General features: G+C 52.2%; 1 protein-coding gene across 3 annotated transcripts in view; it reads left to right on the forward strand.

Annotated features, from left to right (window-relative positions):
• Nucleotides 1–26,366, forward strand: part of MYH14 (myosin heavy chain 14) — a 106,919-nt gene that overhangs the window by 43,379 nt on the left and 37,174 nt on the right. For 2 of the 3 annotated variants that reach the window (NM_001077186.2, NM_024729.4), the window contains 15 exons: nt 4–122; nt 1,987–2,139; nt 2,650–2,823; nt 3,515–3,688; nt 5,639–5,753; nt 10,299–10,486; nt 12,144–12,265; nt 13,646–13,715; nt 14,475–14,635; nt 16,312–16,420; nt 19,877–20,008; nt 21,161–21,367; nt 24,409–24,546; nt 24,849–24,972; nt 25,560–25,731. In NM_001077186.2, coding sequence (NP_001070654.1) covers nt 4–122; nt 1,987–2,139; nt 2,650–2,823; nt 3,515–3,688; nt 5,639–5,753; nt 10,299–10,486; nt 12,144–12,265; nt 13,646–13,715; nt 14,475–14,635; nt 16,312–16,420; nt 19,877–20,008; nt 21,161–21,367; nt 24,409–24,546; nt 24,849–24,972; nt 25,560–25,731 — 2,158 coding nt within the window. Of the gene's footprint in view, nt 1–3; nt 123–1,986; nt 2,140–2,649; nt 2,824–3,514; nt 3,689–5,638; nt 5,754–8,219; nt 8,319–10,298; nt 10,487–12,143; nt 12,266–13,645; nt 13,716–14,474; nt 14,636–16,311; nt 16,421–19,876; nt 20,009–21,160; nt 21,368–24,408; nt 24,547–24,848; nt 24,973–25,559; nt 25,732–26,366 lie in introns of all 3 variants that reach the window. The other variant, NM_001145809.2, reaches the window with a different exon arrangement.

Consider the following 26,366-nt stretch of genomic DNA (forward strand, 5'->3'; position numbering starts at 1 on the left):
CAGCTGCACAGAAGCTCTGCCGCCTCTTGGGACTGGGGGTGACGGATTTCTCCCGAGCCTTGCTCACCCCTCGCATCAAAGTTGGCCGAGACTATGTGCAGAAAGCCCAGACTAAGGAACAGGTAGGCGGGGCTGGCGGTGGGCAGGCACAGAAAGAGCCGCGCACCCCGGCCCTGGGTCTTTAAACAGTGTATGCTGTTTTTCCCACCACTCAACAGACTTTTGCTGAGTGCCCGCTCCGTTACCGATCCTGGTCTAGGTGCCAGGCGTAAAAGCAGTCATCGAAACAAATAACCAGGCCCTCAGGGACCTCAAGTTATAGTAAGGAAATGGATAATAAAAGTTCAACAGGATGTGTCTGGGAGTGGTGGCTCACACCTGTAATCCCAGCACTTTGGGAGGCCAAGGTGGGAGGATTGCTTGAGCCCGGGAGTTTGAGGCTGCAGCGAGCTGTAATTGCGCCACTGCACTCCAGCCTGGGTGACAGACTGAGACTCTGTCTCTAAAAAAATTAAAAAATTTAATAATAATTTAAAAAAACAGGATGTAAATGCAACATGGTATCCTAGAAAAACAAAAAACAAAAACCCAGGATGCTTTTAGATGGTGAGAGCACCTGTGAAGGGGAGGTTTTGTTGGTCAGGAAAGTCCTCTCTAAGGAAGCTCTAAGGATGAAACATTCGAGATGAGACCTAGATGGTTCGAGGCAGACGGAACCGCAAGTGTAAAGGCCCTGGGGGTGGAGCAGGCTTGGGGAGTTGGGAACATTAAGCAGGTCAGTGAGGCCGGGTGTGGGGGCTCATGCCTGTAATCCCAGCTCTTTGGGAGGCTGAGGCGGACAGATTGAGCTCAGGAGTTCAAGATCAGCCTGGGCAACATGGTGAATCTCCGTCTCTACTAAAATACAAAAATTAGCTGGGTATGTGGCACACGCCTGTAGTCCCAGCTACTTGGGAGGCTGAGACACGAGGATCACTTGAACCTAGGAGGCAGAGGTTGCAGTGAGCTGAGAGCACGCCACTGCACTTCAGCCTGGGTGACAGAGCGAGACTCTGTCTCAAAAAAAAAAAAAAAAAGAAAAGAAAAAAAGAAAATTGAAGGAGGTCAGGTCAGTGAGGCTGAAGAGCAAGGGAGAGAGGGTGGGTGAATCCACAGTCAGAAATGTCAGCAAGGGGCAGATCATGCAGGGTCTTAGGGGCCACAGTAAGGAGGTGAGTTTTATTCAAACTACATAGGAGGCCATTGAGGTTTTAAGCCAGGGAGTGACTTGATTCAGTTTGTCTTTCATAGAAAGATCCCCTTGGCTGCTGCATGGAGAATTGGGTTCAGGGATGCAGGTAGAGGCGGGGAGACCTAAGGAGGCTGCATCCAGAGTCTTGGCAATCGTGGGAGCTCACACCATGAGCAGGGAGGGTGGAGTGGAGCGACCACAGGCCAGGGAGGGTTTCAGAATCCAGCTTTTGGGCAGAGGCCTCTGCTGGCCCCAGGCTGGGCAGTGAGGTACCTGGATGAAGACCCCGTGGGGGAGATGAGGAGTCTGGGAGCCACACTGACCCGGGTTCAATCTCAGCTGGGGTACTGTTGTTAGTTCCCATTTTACAGAGGAGAAAACTGAGGCACAGAGAGGTTTATTCACATGCCTGAAATCACACAGCCCCTAAGTGGCAGAGCTGGGATTCAAACCCAAGTTGTCCGGCTCCAGAGTCCACGCTCTTAACCGCTGTGCGGTAGAAACTGCTTTGAGGGGGTGAGGGAAGGATTCAAGGGCTAACACATCCGAGCCCGTCATGTAGTACCTGGTGCGCAGTAGGACTTCAGGAATGTCTGCCTGTTGTTCATGGCATTGTTCTTGATGGTACTTACACTCAAGGAGCTGGGAGGCGACCTTAAGGGGGACGAGCTGGGGGCCCTTCCCCGGTTCACCCCCGACGTCTTTCAGTCTGCTGATGTGCAGGCTGCGCCCTTACCATGAGCCCTGTCCCACAGGCTGACTTCGCGCTGGAGGCCCTGGCCAAGGCCACCTACGAGCGCCTCTTCCGCTGGCTGGTTCTGCGCCTCAACCGGGCCTTGGACCGCAGCCCCCGCCAAGGCGCCTCCTTCCTGGGCATCCTGGACATCGCGGGCTTTGAGATCTTCCAGGTCCACCCTTGTGCTGGGAGGGGGATGCCAACTTCCTCACTCCGGTCCTGGTCCTTTCTGAAGCCCTGGGTCTCTCCCCTTCTCCCTGGTCTCTGTCCCCCTCTCTCTCTCTGAGTCTCTGTTCCCCCCTCTCTCTGGTCTCTGTCCCCCTCTCTCTGGGTCTCTGTCCCCTGTCTCTGGGTCTCTGTCCCCTTCTCTCTCTGGGTCTCTGTCCCCTGTCTCTGGGTCTCTGTCCCCCTCTCTCTCTGGGTCTCTGTCCTCTCTCTCTGCATCTCTGTCCCCTGTCTCTGGGTCTCTGCCTCTCTGTCTCTGGGTCTCTGTCCCCTGTCTCTGGCTCTGTCCCCTGTCTCTGGGTCTCTGTCCCCCTCTCTCTGGGTCTCTGTCCCCCTCTCTCTGGGTCTCTGTCCCCTCTCGATGCATCTCTGTCCCCTGTCTCTGGGTCTCTGTCCCCTGTCTCTGGGTCTCTGTCCCTCTCCATCCTCCCAGCTCACGTGTCCTGCGTCCCTGCAGCTGAACTCCTTCGAGCAGCTCTGCATCAACTACACCAACGAGAAGCTGCAGCAGCTCTTCAACCACACCATGTTCGTGCTGGAGCAGGAGGAGTACCAGCGTGAGGGCATCCCCTGGACCTTCCTCGACTTTGGCCTCGACCTGCAGCCCTGCATCGACCTCATCGAGCGGCCGGTGAGCCCCAGGCCCCTCCCAGCCCACACTCACGGTTCAGATCCGTCTCTCCCAGCATCTGCGAGACCAGGGTCTAGCTCCTCCTCTGCTGGGCCTCAGGATGCCCCATGGGTTCTGTGGGGAAGGTGACAGCACCTGCTTCCTCGATCTTTTGTGACCATAGGTGATTAGGGCCCAGAATGTGCCTGCCACAGGGCCCGGCTCAAATCAATCGGTTAATCAGAGCTCTCACCGTAACTGTTGTTCTCACGTTTGTTTTTTGTTTGTTTGTTTTGTTTTGTTTTGTTTTTTTCTTGAGACGGAGTCTCGCTCTATCGCCCAGGCTGGAGTGCAGCGGCGCGATCTCTGCTTACTGCAAGCTTCGCCCCCTGGGTTCACGCCATTCTCCTGCCTCAGCCTCCCGAGTAGCTGGGACTACAGGTGCCCGCCACCACGCCCGGCTAATTTTTTGTATTTTTAGTAGAGTCGGGGGTTTCACTGTGTTAGCCAGGATGGTCTCGATCTCCTGACCTCGTGATCTACCCGCCTCGGCCTCCCAAAGTGCTGGGATTACAGGCGTGAGCCACCGTGCCTGGCATCTCACGTTTGTTTTTATGTCCAAGTGTGACTTATAAGAGCTAAAAATCAGCAGCCACCTGAGTGTCCAATATGTGGGGATCTGACTTACTCTCCCCCTGCTGTCAATGGCCAGGCCAACCCCCCTGGACTCCTGGCCCTGCTGGATGAGGAGTGCTGGTTCCCGAAGGCCACAGACAAGTCGTTTGTGGAGAAGGTAGCCCAGGAGCAGGGCGGCCACCCCAAGTTCCAGCGGCCGAGGCACCTGCGGGATCAGGCCGACTTCAGTGTTCTCCACTACGCGGGCAAGGTAGGGGCTGGGGCCGGCCTTGGGGCATGTGGGAGTGGGGATCAAGGGATCTCCACTGGCTACAGATGGGGGGAGGGTGCAGAGGGAAAACAGGGTCCTCCTGAGGTCCAGACAAACAGAGCAGGGGCTAGGAGAGCCCAGGGAGGAGCAAGGATTCTGTCTGATGGGATCACCAAAAACTTCCTCAAAGAGGTGATATTTGCAGTGGGTTTTGAGGGATGGGTAGGAGTTCATCAGGAGGCGATCTATGTGCATTTTATCCACTTATTCAGCAGATATGTGCGGGGTGCCATTTGTGTGCCCAGCTCGGGGCCGAGCAAAGCTGGATACACAGATCAAACATGGTTTCTGTCCTCACAAAGATCCCTATCTGGGAGGGAGGCAAATACAGACGATCAGGATATAAGGTTAATAGGTCTTTCAGTGGAGGCAGCTGAGGGTAGTGTCAGAGCCCAGAAGAGAAGTACCTGGGAAAGCTTCACAGAAGAGAATATGCTCAATCTCAAATCTCAGTCAAGGGCCGGCAAACATTTTCTGTAAAGGGTCCGATAGTAAATAGTTTCAGCTTTGTGGGCCAGACGATCTCTGTCACAGCTACACAATTCTGCTGTGGTCACACAAAAAGAGCCACAGATAATACATAAGTATCTTCAAGCCCCCAGGGAAAAAGAAAGGAAAAACAGACTGAGAAACAGTTTCGAGGGCTCTCTTGCCCCCAGAAGGGCCCCCATGAGTTTGACTATGAAGACATAAATGAAGGTTCTATTCCTATATATATATACACATATATATATACACACATATATATATACACACATATATATATACACACTACACACACACACACACACACACACACACACACACACACACACACACACATATATATATGTATTTTTTTTTATTTGAGACAGAGTCTCCCTCTGTTACCCAGGCTGGAGTGCAGTGGCACGATCTCGGCTCACTGCAATCTCCGCCTCCTAGGTTCAAGCAATTCTTCTGCCTCAGCCTCCCCAGTAGCTGGGATTACAGGCACCTGCCACCATGCCTGGCTAATTTTTGTATTTTTAGTAGAGACAGGGTTTCACCATGTTGGCCAGGCTGCTCTCGAACTCCTGACCTCAGTTGATCCACCCGCATAGGCCTCCCAAAGTGCTGGGATTACAGGTGTGAGCCACCGCGCCCAGCCCTATTCCAGTGAAAGTATTTGCAAAAAGAGGTGGCAGGCTGGATTTTGCCTGTGAGCCATAGTTTGCTGACCCCTGGTTTTGATGATGTGGACCAGGCAGCCCCAGAGGATGGGTGAAGGGTGGGAAGGGCTCTCCAGGCAGAGGGAACAGCATAGACAATGGCTGGGAGGCAGGAGATTCCATGTGTTCTGTGTCTAGCCCTCAGTTTCTTCCCCAGACATACTCCAGAACTCCCCCTGTACCCAGCCCTCTGCTAGGCCGTGAGTCAGACCTGGGCCCTGCCCTCGGGGGACCGCTGTCTGGTGGGGGGCACATATGCAGAGAATTGTAGCGGCCAAGATCGTGACTCTATGGAGCCCCACAGCAAAGCCCTGAGTACCCAGAAGGAGCCAGTGGTGTGAAACCCACAGAGACAGAACCCCAGGTGGCAGGAACCGCAGGGGTAAAACCCCGAGGTGGGAGTAAGCTCGCATGTTTGAGGAACAGTGCGGAGGCCAGGGTGGCTGGAGCGGAATGAATAGGAAGAAAGTGGTGGTGGTGGAGGTCACAGAGGTGGCAGGGGGCATAGAGGGGAAGGAGAGAGAGGGGACCATGCTGGTGGGGTGCAGTTCAGAATATGGACACAAGGTGGCACCAGTGCTCGCTTGTCCATGGTGAGCTCCAGACCTGGGAGTCTCAGAGCTTCTGGAAGGCTCCTTAGGAAATCCAGAGAATGTCTGAGCCTGCAAGTCATCGCCCTCCTCTACCTGACTTCATTCAGGTCGACTACAAGGCCAACGAGTGGCTGATGAAAAACATGGACCCTCTGAATGACAACGTCGCAGCCTTGCTCCACCAGAGCACAGACCGGCTGACGGCAGAGATCTGGAAAGACGGTGAGGACCCACTTCCCCCACCCCGGCTCTAGGGGTCTGTGCGGCCATTCTCCAAATCCACAGCGTGAGCACCTTTGTTTCAGAGGCGGAGGTCTGAACCTGAGTTTTCTGCTCAGACCCAGAATAGCCAGTGTCACAAATAGTATTTCAAATCAGTGATGGATGGATCCATAGATTAATTGATTGACTATTGATTTGATTGATAAGCCAGCATCCTTCTCAAGGATAAAGCACTCCGCCTTAATCAGAAACGTGGCAAAGATACCCACTAACACTACTGTTAAACATCGTTTTTTTAGCAATACTAGCCTATGCAATCAGACCAGAAAAAGTATGAATATCGAACAGGAAGAAGTAAACTTATTATTTTTAGATGGCCTGTGTTCCCTAAACAATTAGGAGATTTGGCTGGGCATGGTGGCTCACACCTGTAATCCCAGCACTTTTGGGAGGCCAAGGTGGGCGGATCACTTGAGGTCAGGAGTTCAAGACCAGCCTGGCCAACATGGTGAAACCCTGTCTCTACTAAAAGTACAACAATTAGCCAGATGTCCTGGTGCATGCCTGTAGTCTCAGCTACTAGGGAGGCTGAGGCAGGAGAATCGCTTGAATCTGGGAGGTAGAGGTTTCAGTGAGCCAAGATTGTGTCACTGCAATCCAGCCTGGGTGACAGTGTGAGACTCTGTCCCAAAAAAAAAAAAAAAATTCTACTGAGAAATAATTTATAACAATAAGAGAACACAGAATGATGATCTTTTGCAGGTCAGTCAACTTTTAGGCTTTGCTTTCTTTGTTTTCTTACAAAGTTCCCTTCACGCCCCCAGGGAAGAAGAAAGAAAAAACAGACTGAGATACAGTTTTGGAGGGCTTTCCTGCCCCCAAAAGGCCCCCATGAGTGTGACTGTCTTTTTGGATTGACACTTCTAGGGGTCATAGGCAGAGATGCCAAATGCCCTGTGGTAGGACTCTGACCTTTTCCAAGCCTTTTCTGCCACTGCCCCTGCCCCCCCATCCTTAGAGGAGGTTTGAGAAATGGTTTTAGAAAGCTGGCAGAACTGGCATCCTGTTTTTTCCAGGTTCCAAGTTTCTGGCATTTGTCAGTTTGCCTTAATCTTTTATTGACATGAAAAGGTAGCTGTAGAAATACCAGTCCATGCAATTTGGCAAGAAAACAAAATGAGCGGCCAGGCGCGGTGGCTCACGCCTGTAATCCCAGCACTTTGGGAGGCCAAGGTGGACGGGTCACCTGAGGTCGGGAGTTTGAGACCAGCCTGACCAACATGGAGAAACCTCATCTCTACTAAAAATACAAAATTAGCTGGGCGTGGTGGCACATGCCTGTAATCCCAGCTACTCGGGGGGCTGAGGCAGGGGAATCGCTTGAACCCGGGAGGTGGAGGTTGTGGTGAGCCGAGATCGTGCCATTGCACTCCAGCCTGGGCAACAAGAGTGAAACTCTGTCTCAAAAAAAAAAAAAAAGGAAAAAAAAAGAAAACAAAATGAGCAAGGTGAGTGGTTCCCAAAACACACTCACAGAGCAAAACAGCATGGAGGGTCTTGATCTTGTGAGCTCATGCTAGAAAGATAGATTTTATTTTTATGTCTCATATAGTATTTACACAAGGAGATTGGAAAGCAGAGTTTGATGTTCAGGAACAGAACCAGATTATGCTACGAGAATCATCTCCCGGCTGAAAATCTGCTGCCCTTTTAAAATATTTGTGCTGTCTTCATAAACACATGATTCTCCACAGTGAGCCCTCATTTGTCACACTCTGTGTGTGCCTGACTCTCAGAGGGTTCCAAAAGAAAAAGTGGAAGCTGCAAAACCTCCTGGCTCAGCCTCCCGAGTAGCTGGGGAGCTGCCATAATGTCACTTCCTCCATAATCCTCCTAAACAAAGCTAGTCACAAGGTCTTCCCAGATTCAAGGAGCTGCAAGACACAGGCAAAGGGTGTCAATACAGGGGAAAGTGGGGAATCGGGGCCATTTTTGCCCAATCTCTGCTAGAGCTGCTTTGAGCCCAGAATTGGATGCCCAGCATCCTGACAGCCCAGGGAAAAACGGAAATGAGATTAGCTCTCCTCTGAGAGGCAAAAACAACAAGTGGCCTGGGAGCATCAAGTTCATTCTTGAGCTTCCTGGCAGCCAGAGCAAAAAGGGCAACCTACTAAAACAGACACAACCTCTAGAGGGAGAGATTTTTTATTCTTTGCACTGAATTCTTACAGAGGACATTCGTCCTTTTGGCCAACAGTGTGTGGATACAAAGATGAACAGGAGTTCAGAAGTTTATGGCCAACATTCTGGTTTTCCATCTTGCTTTGCTCTGTACTGTTGACTAATAACCCTCTCCTCTTTTTCTTCCTGCCACCTCCTCTCCTTCCCCTCTTTTCATGCATCTCTCTCCGCCATCTCTCTGCCATCTCCCCTCCACCCACCCACACATCTGTCCTCACTCCCCAGAACATGGGGGCTTCCAGCAGTTCTCTTTCCTTGGCTCCTTCCCACCGTCGCCCCCAGGATCTGCAGAGAGGTGCAGCTCTGCTATTTCTCCGCCAGGGGGTGGGTGTCTCTGTGCATCGATGGGTGAGGCTTGCTGGAGGAGGAGGGTGGACCTGTTGGGCTGGGGACCTGGTTTTGAACATCTGTCCCCTCTCCTCTTACTGTGGAGGTCTCTCACTCTTCCTTTCCCTCCTTGTTGGCTCCCTTGGAAGTTTCCAGACTCTGTAGCAGCAGAACCCCTTCTTCTAACTAAACTGCATGTAAAAGTACAAACAAGCGTGATAGTACCAGCTCGCGTTTCTTGAGCACTTACTATGTGCCGTTCACCATGTGAAACCCCTTTAGAATTATCAACACCCCATTACACAAATGAGGAAACTAAAGCACAGAGAAGTTAAGTAACTTGCTGAGGTCACACAGCCAGTAAGTGGCAGAGCTGGGATTTGAACCCAGGACATCAGATTCCAGAACTTTAGTTCTTATCTGTGCTATGAGGACTTAATAAATGATAATTATCATTTTGAAAATGACAGGGAGTACGGGGTAGGGGAGACGGTTGAACCTGGGGAAGAAAATAACATATTTGAGCCCCTGCCATGACCTGGCCCTGCCCTAAGCACAGATTATCTAGTTGACGGTTGATGGCGCTTGAATGGGATGAGTTTTGCAGGACATCAGATTCTGCCCTAGCTGTGGGTTCCTGAGGAACCTGGCATGATTCAACACATAGAATTTGGGACCAGGTGCATTGGCTCACCCCTATAATCCCAGCGCTTTGGGAGGCCGAGGTGAGAGGATCACTTGAGGACAAGAGTTTGAGATTAGCCTGAGCAACACAGGAAGACCCCGTCTCTACAAAATAAATTTAAAAATTGGTGGGCATGGTGGTGTGCGCCTGTAGTCCAAACTACTTGGGAGGCTGAGGTAGGAAGATCACTTGAGCCTAGGAGGTTGAGGCTGCAGTGAGCTGTGATCACTCCACTGTACTCCAGCCTGGGTGACAGTGAGACTGTGTCTCAGAAAACAAACAAACAACAGAATTCGAGACAGTGCCAATAGAAGGAATGGATATTTTTCACTACCCAAAGCAGCACCGCCAAGCGGCACTAGAGAAAATAGAATCTTTTTGTTGAGACAGAGTCTAGCTCTGTTGCTCAGGCTGGAGTGCAGTGACACAATCTTGGCTCACGGCAACCTCTGCCTCCCAGGTTCAAGTAATTCTCCTGCCTCAGCCTTCCAAGTAGCTGGGATTACAGGCATGTGCCACCACACCTGGCTTAATTTTTTGTATTTTTAGTAGAGATGGGGTTTCACCATGTTGGCCAGGCTGGCCTCGAACTCCTGACCTTAGGTGATCCACCCGCCTTGGCCTCCCAAAGTGCTGAGATTACAGGCATGAGCCACCGCACCCTGCCAAGAAAATAGAACCTCTATGAAATTAGGCTCTTCTGGAAAAATGGTTAAAATAGAGACAGTTTGCCCTATTTCAAATATTGCATATAATGCAAGAATTTATTACATCTTTTAATATGTTTCAGATTCCTAAAATGCAACTGCAGTGGTTATGTTATCACTGTTTTCTCTCTCTATGCCTCAGTTTCCAAATCTGTAAAATGGGAATGATTCTTACAGGCTTATAAAGCCATTGATGTAAATTGCTTTGAGCAATGCCTGCCAGAGTATCTATGCTAGGTAAGCATTTGCTGTTATTGTCATCATTTATTGATAAGGAAAACAGAGATCATGTCCTTGAAGAGAAGAAGGGTCAAAGACCAGAGTTTGAGAGGACTCCTACTGTCTGAGTTCTAATCTCGGATCTTCAGTTTCTAAGCTGTGTGACCTTAAGCACATTCTCCCACTCTTCAGAGCCTCAGTATGTCCATCTGTCCAATGAAGCTGATATCTACCTTACAGGCTGTGTGAGGTCCTTCATATGTAAAGTGCCAGTTGTGATAAATGATAAGACCCTTGACCTTTGGCCCAGGTCCCTAAAACTGACCCTGACCTCCTTCTCTCTCTCTCTGCATCTCCATCTGACAGTGGAGGGCATCGTGGGGCTGGAACAGGTGAGCAGCCTGGGCGACGGCCCACCAGGTGGCCGCCCCCGTCGGGGTATGTTCCGGACAGTGGGACAGCTCTACAAGGAGTCCCTGAGCCGCCTCATGGCCACACTCAGCAACACCAACCCCAGTTTTGTCCGCTGCATTGTCCCCAACCACGAGAAGAGGGTGAGTGACTCAGCCTGGGGAGGAAGGGGTGGCTGTGGCTGTGGGTTAAGGTTTGGCCTCTGGACTTGGCTGGAGCCACATCTGATTCGAGGACCCTCAAATTAGCTGTGTGGCTTTGAGCAAATTGCTTCTATTCCTAGGCTCAGGGTCCGGTTGGGAAAATTCATGCATTCATATGACTTAATGTATTAAGCATCTACTGTGCTGGGAACAGGTACTGGGGAGGCATTGGAGAGAAAGGCACAGCCAACTCCTGTTCTCAGGGAGCTCACAGTCTGATGGGGAGCATAGACATTCATCTAACCATCCAAAATGAACGTCCAGTTAAATCTGTAGGGGTGGTGAGTATCACACAGGGCTTGATCTGGTCAGTGAAGTTAGGGAAGGTTCCCTGGGGGACGTGATGACTGAGCCCTGAAGGATACGTGATATTCCAGGCAGAGAAGAGTTTGTACAAAGGCCCAATGGTAGGTTGGAGCACGCGAGGTACAAGGGATAGAGGAAGGCCATCAGGGCTGGGCTTGTTGCATGGGTGTGACAAGACCATGGCCAGCCTCACTGGCCACTGATTTTCATGTTGAGAAAATCAGAGAATGGGCCCTACAGAGAAGGGTCAATGGGAATGGAAAACAACATGTTTGCCATGTTGCCCAGGCTGCTCTCGAACTCCTGAGCTCAAGCGATCCACCCGCCTTGGCCTCCCAAAGTGCTGGGATTACAGGCGTGAGCCACCACGCCCAGCCTGAGATCCCATATTTTATCAAATCTAAGCCATGTATTCCTCCCCACTAGCGTCTCTGAAGTCGAGATGTAGCTTAGTCAACGGCCTGTCAGGGTTTAATTACCAGTCTTTTTCCTTTCTTGGTGGCATATTTAACGACAGCGTGTGCCACTGGAATTTTTGTACTGTTTAGATTTTTGCCATTTGTGCATTACTGTTGAAAAGAGAAAAGGCGGCCTGGCACGGTGGCTCATGCCTGTAATCCCAGCACTTTGGGAGGCTGAGGTGGGAGGACTGCTTGAGCCCAGGAGTTCAAGACCAGCCTGGGCAATGGCGAAACGCCGTCTCTACTCAAAATACAAAAATTAGCTGGGCATAGTGGTGTGCACCTATAATCCCAGCTACTCAGGAGGCTGAGGCAGGAGAAGCTCTTGAACCTGGGAGGCGGAGGTTGCAGTGAGCTGAGATCATGCCATTGCACTCCAGCCTGGGCAACAGAGCAAGACTCTGTCTCAAAAAAAAAAAAAAAAAAAAAAACGAACAAACAAACAAACAAAAACCAAAAAAACATGATTTACCAGCTTTGGACAGACATCAGCTTCCCAGGAGGCCTTTTGGCGACTCTCTTGCGTGCAAATTCAGCCCCACCCACATCCCTCCCTGCGGATCTTTTCTCCTTAGCACTTAGTATTTCTTCTTTATTAGTGACTGCTTCACCTAGGGTATTTCTAGTTTCTCCTACTGAACTCTCAGTTCCCCAGGGCAGGATTTCCCCCTGGTTTGAGCATTGCTGTCTTCCCAGGGCCTAGAACCGTTCCTAGGCACCTAGTAGGTGCTCAGTAAATTACATGTGGAAACAGGAAATTGCCAAGCTTGACCGTTTGGCGCCCCCGTGTGGCCGCCGCTGACCCCCGCGTGTCCGTCCGCTCTCCCCAGGCCGGGAAGCTGGAGCCACGGCTGGTGCTGGACCAGCTTCGCTGCAACGGGGTCCTGGAGGGCATCCGCATCTGTCGCCAGGGCTTCCCCAACCGCATCCTCTTCCAGGAGTTCCGGCAGCGGTGAGCTAGAGCGAGGGCCCAGGCCCGGCGGAGGGGCTGGGTGGGACCCGGGTCTGGAAGCCGACACACCTGCATTCAGGTCTCCACCCACTCTTGTTCCTTCTGCGCTGGGGAAGTTGAGGCAGATTACTCACTTTGCTGAGCCTCAGTTTACTCGTCTGTGTATGGGAGAACAATAGCCCACTTGATGCACTCCTGAGAGAAAGCACACAGAGTCTATGGGGATCTGGGGTACATTGCTGCTGCTGTTTAGGGCAGTAGGCCCCAAACTATGAACGTGAAATCACTGCATGGTGTTACAAATCTGCATGTCTTTAAAAATGAAGTAGAAGGCGGGGCGCGGTGGCTCACGCCTGTAATCCCAGCACTTTGGGAGGCCGAGGCAGACAGATCACCTGAGGTCGGAAGTTCGAGACCAGCCTGACCAACGTGGAGAAACCCCATCTCTACTAAAAATACAAAATTAGCCGGGTGTGGTAGCACATGCCTGTAATCCCAGCTACTCGGGAGGCTGAGGCAGGAGAATCACTTGAACCGGGAAGGGGGAGGTTGCAGTGAGCCGAGATTGCGCCATTGCACTCCAGCCTGGGCAACAAGAGCAAAACTCTGTCTCAAAAAAATAAATAAGTAAATAAAGAAGTAGAATAGGACAGAATAGAAAATACCAAGGCCTAATGAGCAAGTAATACAGCAAATGTAACAAAAATGATGCTTCACACAAGCTGTGTAGAGCAGCACCGTCCCTTAGAAGTAGAATGGGAAGCCTTGTACACAATTGAACATTTTCTAATAGCTACACTTTTACAAGTGAAAAAAATGAAATTAATTTTAACAAGATATTTTACTAAAGCCAATACATCCAAAATACTGGCCAATACTGGCTGGGCACTGTGGCTCATGCCTGTAACCCCAGCACTTTGGGAGGCCGAGGCGGGTGGATCACTTCAGGTCAGGAGTTCAAGACAGCCTGGCCATCATGGAGAAACCCCATCTCTACTAAAAATACAAAAATTAGCTGGGCATGGTGGCACATGCCTGAATCCCAGCTACCTGGTAGGCTGAGGCAAGAGAATCGCTTGAACCTGGGAGGCGGAGGTCGCAGTGAGGCAAGATCTGACCACTGCACTCCAGCCTGGGCGACAGAGCGAGACTCTGTCTCAAAAAACAAACAAAACAAAAAACTGAAACAGTCGATCATTGTCGATGTTGCTGTCCTTGGTGGTGGCGTGAATGCTCAGATGTGAGTTTTGTGACTGTCCTTGTTATTGTCACTGTTGTTCCTGCTGTGTGTCACTCTGAGCCCAGTGCCTGGCCCGCAGCAGGCACTAGGTGAGCGTTTGCTGTAACTCTCTCCTCCCCACCCCTCCCTGCTCATTGCAGATACGAGATCCTGACACCCAATGCCATCCCCAAGGGCTTCATGGATGGGAAGCAGGCCTGTGAAAAGATGGTGAGTGGGGCAGAGCCTGGAATGCGTGTGTGCGTGTGTGTGTGTGCGTGCATGAGTGTGCGTGCATGTGTGTGTGCATGCATATGTGTGCATGCGTGTGTGTGCAAGTGTGTGTGCATGCACGTGTGTGCGTGTGTGTGTGCATGCATATGTGTGCATGCGTGTGTGTGCATGTGTGTGTGTGCATGCGTTTGTGTGCAGGGGCCCAGGTGGTCGGGGAGTGGGGCTGGGATCTCCCCTTCATTGACCTTCCTCATTACCTCTCCCTATCACCGCCCCCACCCCCGCTTCCTCATCATCCCCTATCACCCCCCTCCCCGTCACCCCATCACCCCCTCCCCATCACCACTCCCCCATCGCCCCCTCCCTATAACTCTTCTCCCCTATCACCCTCCTCCACATCACCCCCTCCCCCATCACCCCCTCTCCCCAATCACCACCCCCTCCCAATCACTGCCCCTCCTCACCACCCCCCCATCATCCCCTGCCCCATCACCCCCTTCCTATAACTCCCCTCCCCTATCACTCTTCACATCACCCCCTCCCCTATCACTCTCCTCATCACCCCCTCCCCATCACTTCTCCCCCATCACCTCCCTCCCCCATCACCCCCTCCCCCATTACCCCCTCTCCCCAATCACCACCCCTTCCCTATCACTCCCCCTCCTCGCCACCCCCTCCCCCATTACTCCCCCTCCTCACCACCCCCACTCCCCCATCACCCCCTCTCCGTCATCACCCCTCTCCCACCCCTCACAGATCCAGGCGCTGGAACTGGACCCCAACCTCTACCGCGTGGGACAGAGCAAGATCTTCTTCCGGGCTGGGGTCCTGGCCCAGCTGGAAGAGGAGCGAGACCTGAAGGTCACCGACATCATCGTCTCCTTCCAGGCAGCTGCCCGGGGATACCTGGCTCGCAGGTGGGCAGCCACGCTGTCTCCCGGGGTCCTGTTGGCCGAGACTGGGTCAGGGAGGGGTTGACCAGATGGCTCTAGGTGTCAGGGCCTCCAGGATGGGTGCAGGGCTGAGGAGCAGGTGGATGGAGGTGCCGGGTGTCCAGGCTTCTTGGTTCTGCAGTCCCTGAGGGGCCCTGTGGGCAGGGCAGGCCCTGTTCAGAGTAAGACTGGCAACACAGAGGCTGGACTTAGCCGCAGGGTGACCAGCTGTCCTAGTGGGCCTGGGTCTGGGTTTCCCAGGGTGCAGGACTTCCAGTGCTAAAACAGAGAAAGCCCGGGGCAACCCAGGTCAAGCTGTCCGCTCTCCCTGGCCAGTCCCTCGAGGGGCTCCAGTCTGGAGGTGAGACTTCCATGGGCATAGAGTCCCAGTCCCGGGTGAGACCTGCTTTGATGGGGGCCATAGAGGTGCAGCAAGGAGGCCCTGCTGCAGGCCATGACTCCCCCAGGCCACACCGGACAAGCAGGTGGATGAAGGAAAATGGGAAAGGTGATCAGGGCAGGAGCAAGCTTGTGCAAAGACCCAACGATGCAAGATCCTGGCACGCTTCAGGAATACAGGGAGTTTGCGGGAGAGTCTCCTTCCTCCTTAGAAGTGGCTCAGAGAGGCCGGGCACGGTGGCTCACACCTGTAATCCCAGCACATTGGGAGGCCAAGGCGGGCGGATCACTTGAGGTCAGGAGTTCGAGACAAGCCTGGCCAACATGGTGAAACCCCATCTCTACTAAAAATACAAAAATTAGCCGTAATCCCAGCTACTCAGGAGGCCAAGGCAGGAGAATGGCTTGAACTCGGGAAGCAGAGACTGCAGTGAGCCAAGATCATGTCACTGCACTCCAGCCTGGGTGGCAGAGTGAGACTCTGTATCAAAAAAAAAAAAAAAGCTGAAAGAATAGAGTGGCAGGAAAGGATGGCCCAAACACCAGGCTGAGTGGGGCCTTGTCCAGAGGAGCTAGGGAGCCATGGAGGGCTGTGAGCAGGGGAGGGGTGGGTCAGCTCTGGGTGTAGAAAGACTCTCTGGAGGCGTGTTGGGATGGGCTGATAGGAGAGGCTGGAGAAGGAGGCCAGGCAGAGGATCCAGGCAAGGGAGGGTGGGGCCTGAACTGCGGCTGGGGCTTTGGGACTGGGCAGAGAGAGTCGGGAGCAGGGGGACGAACGGCCAGAACACAGTGAGATCTCAAAGTAATAAGAGTGCCTGCACACAGTAGGCATTTTATGATGGCTGACTAAGTGAAAGGAGCTTGGCTTGGTCAGGCATGGTGGCCCACCCCTGTAATCTCAGCACTTTGGGAGGCCGAGGTGAGTAGATCACTTGAGGTGGGGAGTTGGAGAGCAGCCCGGCCAACATGGCAAAACCCCATCTCTACTAAAAATACAAAAATTAGCCGAGTGTTGTGGCACGCACCTGTAATCCTAGCTACTTGGGAGGTGAGGCAGGAGAATTGCTTGAACCTGGGAGGTGGAGGTTGCAGTGAGCCCAGATCATGCCATTGCACTCCAGCCTAGGCAACAGAGCAAGACTCTGTCTCAGAAAAACAAACAAACAAACAAAGAAAATAAATAAGAAAGGAGCTTGGCTCTCTTGCTAAGGGGATGGCGCCTGGAGGCTCCCACTCTGCCCCTCACCCATTTCCCCACCCAGGGCCTTCCAGAAGCGCCAGCAGCAGCAGAGCGCCCTGAGGGTGATGCAGCGGAACTGCGCGGCCTACCTCAAGCTGAGACACTGGCAGTGGTGGCGGCTGTTTACCAAGGTGAGGGCAGCCTGGGGAGGTGGCCCCAGTAGGGAGAGGATAGGGCCTTGGGGCTTGGTCTGCTTGACAAGTGACTTCCTCCATGTGGGCCTCAGTTTTCTGCATCACTAAAATGGGGCCAGTCGGCCCAGGCTTTGCTAGCTGGGATTCTTTAGTTAGCAAGCAACAAGAAAAATCTGACTCGAACCAACATGGATCAAAGATTCAAGACAATGTGGGCTGCACCTGGATCCAGGGGTCCCCAAGACTTCTGTTCAAGGATTTGCTGGAAGGACTCACAGAACTTAGAAAAGCTGCTGTACTCACAGCTACAGTTTATCACAATACAAAGATACAGATTGAAAACAGCAAAGGTGCTGGGTGCTGTGGCTCACACCTGTAATCCCAGCAGTGTGAGAGGCCGAGGCGGGCGGATCACTTGAGATCAGGAGTTCGAGACCAGCCTGGCCAATATGGGGAAATCCTGTCTCTACTAAAGATACAAAAATTAGCTGGGCATGGTGGCAGGTGCCTGTAGTCCCAGCTACTTGGGAGGCTGAGGCAGGAGAATCACTCAAACCTAGGAGGTGGAGGTTGCAGTGAGCCAAGATAGTGTCACTACATGTAGCCTGGGCAATACAGCAAAACTCTGTCTCAAAAAAAAAAAAAAAAAAAAAGAGCAAAGGTTAAAAAAAAAAAAAAAGTACATAAGTGTCTCGGAGAGACCAAGCATGAGCCTACAGCTGCTCTCTCCCAGTGAAGTTCTGTGGACAACACTTAGCTGTTCCCAGCAATGAAGTATGATAATATGCACGGAGTATTGCCAACCAGGGAAGCTCACCTGAGCCTTGATGTCCAGCGTTTTTCCTGGGGCTGGTCACACAGGCATGGACAAGGTCACACACATGGTGACCTCAGTTACTCAGTCTCCAGCCCCTCCAGAGTCAAACTGATGCCATGTGGCCCAGGGCCCCCACCACAGATCCCATCGTTAGCATAGACTATCCAGGGTGGCCCAAGGCCCCAGGTAAACCAAGACACTCTTATCAGATGGGACATTCTAAGGACTTAGAGGTAACCTCCCAGGAGCCCATCAAGGGCCAGACTTTTCTTAGGAATGTGTGGGGTTTGGACAACCCAGGTCTGCTGAGTTAACCCTTTACTGCACAAGGGTCCAAACAGTGACGTCAGTATGCAGTGTTCTGCGTCTCCCGCTTGGCTTTCCTCCGTGATGATCACCAACAGAGGCTTTCCACACAGGGGCCACCAGCAGATGGAGTCTTGCCCCTAACAACCTTGGCCAGCCTGGTCTCTCTTATCATAGAGCTCCAGCCAGATTCCCAGGTTTCATGCTCATTGGCCCAGCTGGAGTCATGTGACCATCCCAGAGCCAGTTAGTAGGGATCAGATGAGCCAGGCTGGCATCACATGCCTACCCAAAGCAGAGGGTGCCAAGCCAGGTCGCCATGCACCATGGAGCTCAGGGACTAGGTGTTCCCCCAGGGGGAAATTGGAAAGGAATGAGAAGGATGGAGGTTTTGGGGGCAGTAATGTAATTCTGAATACGATGTCTGAGAGATCAGCCTGCATTCCCTTGGTCAGTGTTAACTGAGCACCTACTATGTGCCCAGAACTTTTATAGAGGCTGGGGTAAATGGTGATTAAAAAGAGACAAGGTCCTGCCACCATGGAGCTCACAGTCTGGGACAAGAGTTGCTGCACTGCGGCCTGTGGGCCAGATGGCTGTTTTTGCAAAAGCCCTTTCGTTAGCATGGTGTCTGCAGCTGCATCTGAGCTACAGCAGCTGAGTGGAGTAGGTAAACAGCCAGAAGCTGAGGTTAGGGGCTCACACCTGTAATCCCAGCACTTCGGGAGGCCAAGGCAGGAGCATCACTTGAGCCCAAGAGTTCAAGACCAGCCTGGGCAACAAAGTGAGACCCTCATCTCTACAAAAAAAAAAAAAACAAAAACAAAAACTGGGTGTAGTGGTGCACACCTGTAGTCCCAGCTACTTGGGACGAAGGATTGCTTAAGCCCAGGAGTATGAGGCTACAGTAAGCCATGATCGCATCACTGCACTACAGCTTGGGTGACAAGAGTGAGACCCTGTCTTGAAAAAATAAATCAAAATTAAAAACTGGCCAGGCACGGAGGCGTATGCCTGTAATCCCAGCAGTTTGGGAGGCTGAGGCAGGTGGATCACTTCAGGTCAGGGGTTTGAGCCCAGCCTGGCCAATATGATGGAACCCTGTCACTACTAAAAATACAAAAATTAGCTGGATGTGGTGTCAGGCACCTGTAATCCCAGCTACTCAGGAGGCTGAGGCAGGTGAATCGCTTGAACTTGGAAGGTGAAGGTTGCAGTGAGCCAAGATCGCACCACTGCACTCCAGCCTGGGTGACAGAGTGAGACTCTGTCTCAAAATAAATAAATAAATAAAAATAAAAATTAATAATAAATAAAAAACAGCCAGGGTGGCCTGTAAAATCTCAAATATTTCCTGCCTGGCCCTTGAAGAAAAAGTTTGCCTACCTTAGGTGTTGGGGGTTGGGGTCAAGTAGGATTTGATTGGCATCATTTGAGAAATGTGAATGATACCTGCGAAAGATGCAAGGAGTCGGGGCAGAAAAGGAGAGAATAGAAGGGATACAGAATTGGGTGGAGAGGAAAAGAATCAAGTAGACTTGTGTAGAACGGAGTAGAATATGATTGAACAGAAATTATCAGAGCAGATCTCACTTAGCAAGGGCGACGAGGTTTTGTGAAATTTTTGTTTCAGTTCTGTGTGTACCTCTGTCACTGCAGCCTGAATCATGCCATGTAAAGCTCATCTCTCACTAAGGACCTTGGACTAACAGGCTTAAGAAACACTGGCCTTTGGCCAGGCATGGTGGCTCATGCCTATATCCCAACACTTTGGGAGGCTGAGGTGGGTGGATTACTTGAGGCCGGGAGTTGGAGACCAGCCTGGCCAACATAGCGAAACCCTCTCTACTGAAAGCACAAAAATTAGCCGGACGTGGTGGCATACGCCTGTAATCCCAGCTACTCGGGAGGCTGAGGCAGGAGAATCGCTTGAACCTGGGAGGCAGAGGTTGCAGTGAGCCGAGATCCCACCACTGCACTCCAGCCTGGGCGAGAGAGCAAGACTCTGTCGAAAGGAAGGAAGGAAGGGAGGAAAAAAGGAAGGAAGGAAGGACTGTTCCACAGAATAGCAGCAGCCACAGTACACAGTGTCTCTTGGATGTGGAAGGATCCTTTAGCCAGAGAGATTAGATAGATCAATAGTGTATTTAGTGGTGCTTGCCTGTACCTGTCAGTGTTCTAGGCCTGTGACCAGGGACTGTTGCCAAGGCGGGGACACACAGCTAATAGGTGGAGGAGAAGGGATTTGAACCCAGAAACTCAAACCCCACTAAGAGTGTGAGGTCTTGGCGCCTGAAGTCAGCCATTCCACCCCTTTCACCTCCACCTAGGTGAAGCCACTGCTGCAGGTGACGCGGCAGGATGAGGTGCTGCAGGCACGGGCCCAGGAGCTGCAGAAAGTGCAGGAGCTACAGCAGCAGAGCGCCCGCGAAGTTGGGGAGCTCCAGGGCCGAGTGGCACAGGTGAGGGGGCGGGGGCAGGGCGTGGGGGCGTGTCTTCGGGGTGGGGCTGTGTCGCATGGGTGGAGCCAGGTGTGAGGGGCGGGGCTTCCGGCTGAGCCAGCCTGTGCCCAGGCAGGGCTGTCGGGAGGATGGGAGCAAAGCTAAGGTGTACTGAGGCCGGGCGGGGATTGGGGCTGTTTAGTTTGGTTGAGTCGTGACGTACAGGGAGCAGGGCCCTGGGGGTGTAGCCAGGGTATGGGCCGGGTAGGGGTGGGGTGGGAGAGTCCTGCAGAGCCAGAATGGAGCTGGGCTGTAGGATCTGGGGGCAGGGGCCTCAGCTGTGGCCGGGCTATGGTATGCAGGTGGCGAACTTATAACTGTTTCCAGTATTTCAGCTATCTTAAAATAATGCTAGAACATTTGGGAGGCTGACGCGGGCAGATCACCTGAGGTCAGGAGTTCAAGACCACTCTGGCCAACATGGTGAAACCCCGTCTCTACTAAAAATGCAAAAATTAGCCGGGTGTGATGGCGCACGCCTGTAATCCCAGCTACTCTGGGAGGTGGAGGTTGCAGTGAGCCGAGATGGCGCCACCGCACTCCAGCCTGGTCGGCAGAGTGAGACTCTGTCTCAAAAATAATAATAATAATAATAATAATGCTAGAACAAACCCCTTCTTGAGCATTTTTCTGTTTGCCTTTTCTGCATTATTTCCTGTGGTTACATTTTAGGTATGAAATGTATTAAATGAAATGTGAGGTAGTAGAAAGACCCCTCGGGGGTTATTTGAAGGATGGACTGGAAGGGGAAAGGCTAGAGTCTGGGAGGCTGGGGAGGAGGCTGGAGAGAGACAGGTGAGAGAAGGAAAGACCTGAGCCTGTTGGGGCTGTAGGGACAGAGAGGAGGGGCCAGAGAGAGCAGGGGTGCAGACTGATGGCTGTGAGAGGTGAGGGAGGGCATCCCCAGGATTCTGACTTAGTGATTAGGGGGATGTGGGCTCATCCTGAGATGGGGACCTGAGGGGGAGGAGGTGGGGACACCGTGTCCTCCTGCCCCTCAGTCCTGCCCTGGAGAACTTAAAGGCCAAAGCAAGTTACAAGGCAGTAGGCACCCAGTGCAGGTTGCCCTGGGAGCACTGCCTGCTGACCACTAACCTCCCACACACTCCCCAGCTGGAAGAGGAGCGCGCCCGCCTGGCAGAGCAATTGCGAGCAGAGGCAGAACTGTGTGCAGAGGCCGAGGAGACGCGGGGGAGGCTGGCAGCCCGCAAGCAGGAGCTGGAGCTGGTGGTGTCAGAGCTGGAGGCTCGCGTGGGCGAGGAGGAGGAGTGCAGCCGTCAAATGCAAACCGAGAAGAAGAGGCTGCAGCAGCACATACAGGTCTGGCCCCTTGCATGCCCACCAGGCCACCCTCCAGACCCCTCTGTCTACACCATCCACCTTTGCTTCTACAAACCGTGTGTCTTTGGGCCATGAATTTGTAGAAAACTCAGTTCTAAGTGAATTTGCAAAAAGAATACATTTTTGATTCAGATCGCGGGAGACCTTAAAATGTGTGAGCTTCACCTATGGATGGATCCAGGCATCCAAGTGATATGTTCAGCTTCAGGCCTGGCTGGATCCAGGTGTCTGAGTGATTTCCTCAGCTTCAGGCATGGCTGGATGCAGGAATCCAAGTGATATCCTCAGCTTCAGGCATGGCTGGATCCAGGCGCCTAAGTGATGTCCTCAGCTTCAGGCATGGCTGGATCCAGGCATCCAAGTGATATCCTCAGCTTCAGGCATGGCTGGATCCAGGTGCCCAAGTGATGTCCTTAGCTTCAGGCATGGCTGGATCCAGGCATTCAGGCAATGTTCTCAGTACTCCCCCTCTCTCCGTCTCCTGGCTGCATTCACGGGCAGGCTGCCCTCATGGTTCCCCTTCAAAATCTAGTGTGTATTTTACACTACAGCACATCTCAATTCAGATGCTAAATTTTCATTGGAAATACTTGATCTGTATTTCTATTTCATAATTTCTGCAGTTTATAAAAACTAGATTCACATGGCCAAGTTGTTCCAAACATGCTTAAAAGCTTTTCAGTGATTGGGTGTCTGGTTTTAAATTTAAAATAAATAAAATTAAATAAGACAGAAAATTTAGTTCATCAGTCCACATCAGCCACATTTCAAAAGCTCAGTAATGTTTTTTTGTTTTTTGTTTTTTTGAGTCAGAGTCTTGCTCTGTCGCCCAGGCTGGAGTGCAGTGGCACCATCTCAGCTCACTGCAACCTCCGTCTCCCGGGCTCAAGCAATTCTCCTGCCTCAGCCTCTACAGCAGTATCTGGGATTACAGGTGTGTGCCACCATGCCCAGCTAATGTTTTTTTATTTTTAGTAGAGACAGGGTTTCAGTATGTTGGCCAGGCTGGTCTCGAACTCCTGACCTCAGGTGATCCGCCCACCTCAGCCTTCCAAGGTGCTGGGATTACAGGCGTGAGCCACCATGCCCGGCCCAGTAGTGTTTTAATCAACTTCTCTTGATCCCTTTGGTGAGGGAGGGACCCTACCCTAGGTTTATGGGGATGGCTGAGCACACAGCACTGGGCACCAGACAGGTGAGGGGGGCCGACATCACACCACAGACGGCCACATGGATGTTGCCCTCAAGAGCAGAGTGAACAAGCAGGGGCTGTGGGAAACAGGCTTTGTCACAACAACAGGTGGAGGTGACCCCTGGGTGCCGTGGGAAAATGTGTTTGGTTTGTTTCAGTAATTCCATGGGCTGGCAGGGAGCTGGAATGTGCTTCTCAGGGATAAGCAGGCACTGTGCCTGGTCCCCAGGATAAGGAGGGTCCCCAGATAAGGCTGGGGGACCTTATCTATGGGAGCAGAGGGAGTAGGAGGACTTCTGTTTAGGCCATTTGAGGCCCCTGCTACTTTTAGCAAATGTCAAGGCAGCACATAAAATTGAGTCTTGGCTAGGTGCAGTGGCTCAATGTGTAATCCCGGCACTTTGGGAGGATCTCTTAAGCCCAGAGGTTCAAGACCAGCCTAGGCAATGAAGTGAAACCCTTTCTCTACAAAAACAAAAACACAAAAATTAGCCAGGCATGGTGTCACACACCTGTGGTGTTGTCACACTACCCACGAGGCCTGAGGTGGGAGGATCACCTGAGCCCAGGAGGTCAAGGCTGCAGTGAGCTGTGATGGCACCACTGCACTCCAGCCTGGATGACAGAGTGAGACCTTTCTCAAACAGAATAAAATAGGCTGGGCGCAATGGCTCACTCCTGTAATCCCAATACTTTGGGAGGCCGAGGTTGGTGGATCACCTGAAGTTAGGAGTTCAAGGCCAGTCTGGCCAACATGGTGAAACCCCATCTCTACTAAAAATACAAAAAATTAGCCAGGTGTGGTAGCGGGTGCCTGTAATCCCAGCTACTCGAGAGGCTGAGGCAGGAAAGTCACTTGAACCCCGGGAGGTGGAGATTGCAGTGAGCCAAGACTGCACCATTGCACTCCAGCCTGGGCAACAAGAGCAAAACTCCGTCTCAAAAAAAAAAAAAAAAGAAAAGAAAAAAATTTAAACAGAATAAAATAAAATAAATTCAAAAAATAAAATTGAGTCTTGATTTCCAGTGTGCCCAATGACTGTCATGTTGGCAGTACCCATTTCTATAATTTGTGTATTTACTATGTTTATTTTATTTTTAAAATTATTTATTATTTATTTATTTTTTTTTTGAGACAGAGTCTCACTCTGTTGCCCAGGCTGGAGTGCAGTGGCGCGATTTCAGCTCACTGCAAGCTCTGCCTCCTGGGTTCACGCCATTCTCCTGCCTCAGCCTCCAGAGTAGCTGGGACTACAGGCACCCGCCACCACGCCCGGCTAATTTTTTGTATTTTTAGTAGAGATGGGGTTTCACCGTGTTAGCCAGGATGGTCTCGATCTGCTGACCTCGTGATCCGCCTGCCTTGGCCTCCCAAAGTCCTGGGATTACAGGCGTGAGCCACTGCGCCTGACCTATTTACTATGTTTATAGTTTATAATCTGTACCCCTAACCCCCACACAAGAATGTGATTTCCACAAGGATAGGTGTTCCTTTTTTTTTTCAGAGGCAAGATCTCGCTCTGTTACCCAGACTTCAGTGCAGTGGTGCGGTCATCTCTCACTGCAGAAGGACAGTCACTTTTACCCATCCTCAGTGCCTAGAACCGTGCCTGGCATACACTAGGCACTCAATAAATGCTTGTTGCGCTAATGAATGAAATGGGAAAGCCAATAAGAGTTTGATCCTTCCCGGCCTCACCCAGGGCATGGACATCTCTGAACCACAAGCCGCGGGGATCCGTGGGCCAGCCATCCCCGCTCCCATCCTTCCCCATCACACTCCATCTATTGGCCCAGTATCCTCACTCCTCCTGCCTTCCCACCCCAGGAGCTAGAGGCCCACCTTGAGGCTGAGGAGGGTGCGCGGCAGAAGCTGCAGCTGGAGAAGGTGACGACAGAGGCAAAAATGAAGAAATTTGAAGAGGACCTGCTGCTCCTGGAAGACCAGAATTCCAAGCTGAGCAAGGTTGGGGGCCTGAGGGCAGCTGGGAAAGTGGGGATGGGGTGCATTGGTGGGTTAATGAATGGTGAACTTCACGCCATGGGGGTTACCACACTGCGGTTCTCAGGTGTGCACCGGTGGGGGTGGGATGGGTCTATAGCCCCAAGGGAATGGGAAGGAGAGGGAGGTGTAGGGGGAGGAAGGTCAGAGAAGGGTGAAAAGGAGCAGAAACATAGATGAGAACAACACCAGAAGCTGCAGATCAGGTAAGGGCTGCTCCTGGCCCAACTCCTCCTGACTGCCCCCCATCCCACTCCACCCCTCAGGAGCGGAAGCTGCTGGAAGATCGTCTGGCCGAGTTCTCATCCCAGGCAGCTGAGGAGGAGGAGAAGGTCAAGAGCCTCAATAAGCTACGGCTCAAATATGAGGCCACAATCGCAGACATGGAGGGTGAGCTCCCGCCCAGCCAGTAGGGGTCTGTGTGTGCTCTAATGGGGGACCTCAGGCAAGCCCCATGTGCTACAGGGCCTCAGTGGCTGTGTCTGCTAAATGGGATAGGAAGGAAGGCTCAGGGCAGATTGAGTGTCCTCCCAGCTCTTGAGTTCTTAATGCATCTCTAAATCCAACTCTCTTTCTCTCCTTGGTGTCTTGGGTTGTCCTCCTTTCTTCCCATCTGACTGTCCCACTGTCTGTCTGTTTCAGACATGTTTTTGTCTCCCTGTCCCTTCCTGTTGACTTAGAATCAGAAACAGAAGGGAAGGGGCACAGGGAGGAGGCAGGGCTGTAGACACAGGGCAGAGAGAGTCAGAGGGTGGAGGCATGGGCTGTTGGTGGGGATGAGGAGGAGAGGACAGTGCGTCTAGGACAACATTGTGGGAAGAGTCCCTGAGATAGATGGGGAAGGTGGGAGGAGGAGAAGGCGTTAAGGGAGGTGCTGAGCTTAGCCTTATATGTGACTGGGGACCTGTGGTCTCTGTGAGAGCGGCTGAGTGTGCAGGCCTGGAGTCCTCATGCACGGCCCCCACCCCTGCCTCCAGACCGCCTACGGAAGGAGGAGAAGGGTCGCCAGGAGCTGGAGAAGCTGAAGCGGAGGCTGGATGGGGAGAGCTCAGAGCTGCAGGAGCAGATGGTGGAGCAGCAACAGCGGGCAGAGGAGCTGCGGGCCCAGCTGGGCCGGAAGGAGGAGGAGCTGCAGGCTGCCCTGGCCAGGTGCAGGGTGGGGTGGGCTTGGTGGGGTAAGCAGCATGGGTGCACGGCCAGCCAGCGTGGGGTGCCCAAGTCAGAAGCTCCTGGGTACAAACCCCAGTGGAGCCACTCACCAGCCACAGACAGGCCACATCCCCTCCGAGCCTCAGTGTCCCCTTCTGTCAAATGAAGATAGCAAGAGTTCCAGGCCCACTAGGTTAAGGGAAAAGTGAAACAAGACTCTATGTGTCTGGTAACTTGCATAACAGTGCACAATGGGAACAAGAAAATGCTATTTCTAGGCCAAGTACGATGGCTCACACCTGTAATCCCAGTACTTTGGGAGGCCAAGGCAGGTGGATCACTTGAGGTCAGGAGTTTGAAACCAGCCTGGCTAACATGGCAAAACCCTGTCTCTACTAAAAATACAAAAGTTAGCTGGGTGTGGTGGCGGGCGCCTGTAATCCCAGCTACTCAGGAGACTTAAGCACGAGAATTGCTTGAACCCAGGAGGCAGAGGTTGCAGTGAGCCGAGATCACACCACTGCACTCTAGCCTGGGCAACAGAGCAAGACTATGTCTCAAAAAAAAAAAAAAAAAAAAAAAAAAGAGCTATTTCTTCCTCTTCCCTGCTTGGCCTCCCCACACCAAACAGCCCA

Source organism: Homo sapiens, chromosome 19 (genome assembly GCF_000001405.40).
Source record: "Homo sapiens chromosome 19, GRCh38.p14 Primary Assembly".
NCBI classification, from domain to species: domain Eukaryota; kingdom Metazoa; phylum Chordata; class Mammalia; order Primates; family Hominidae; genus Homo; species Homo sapiens.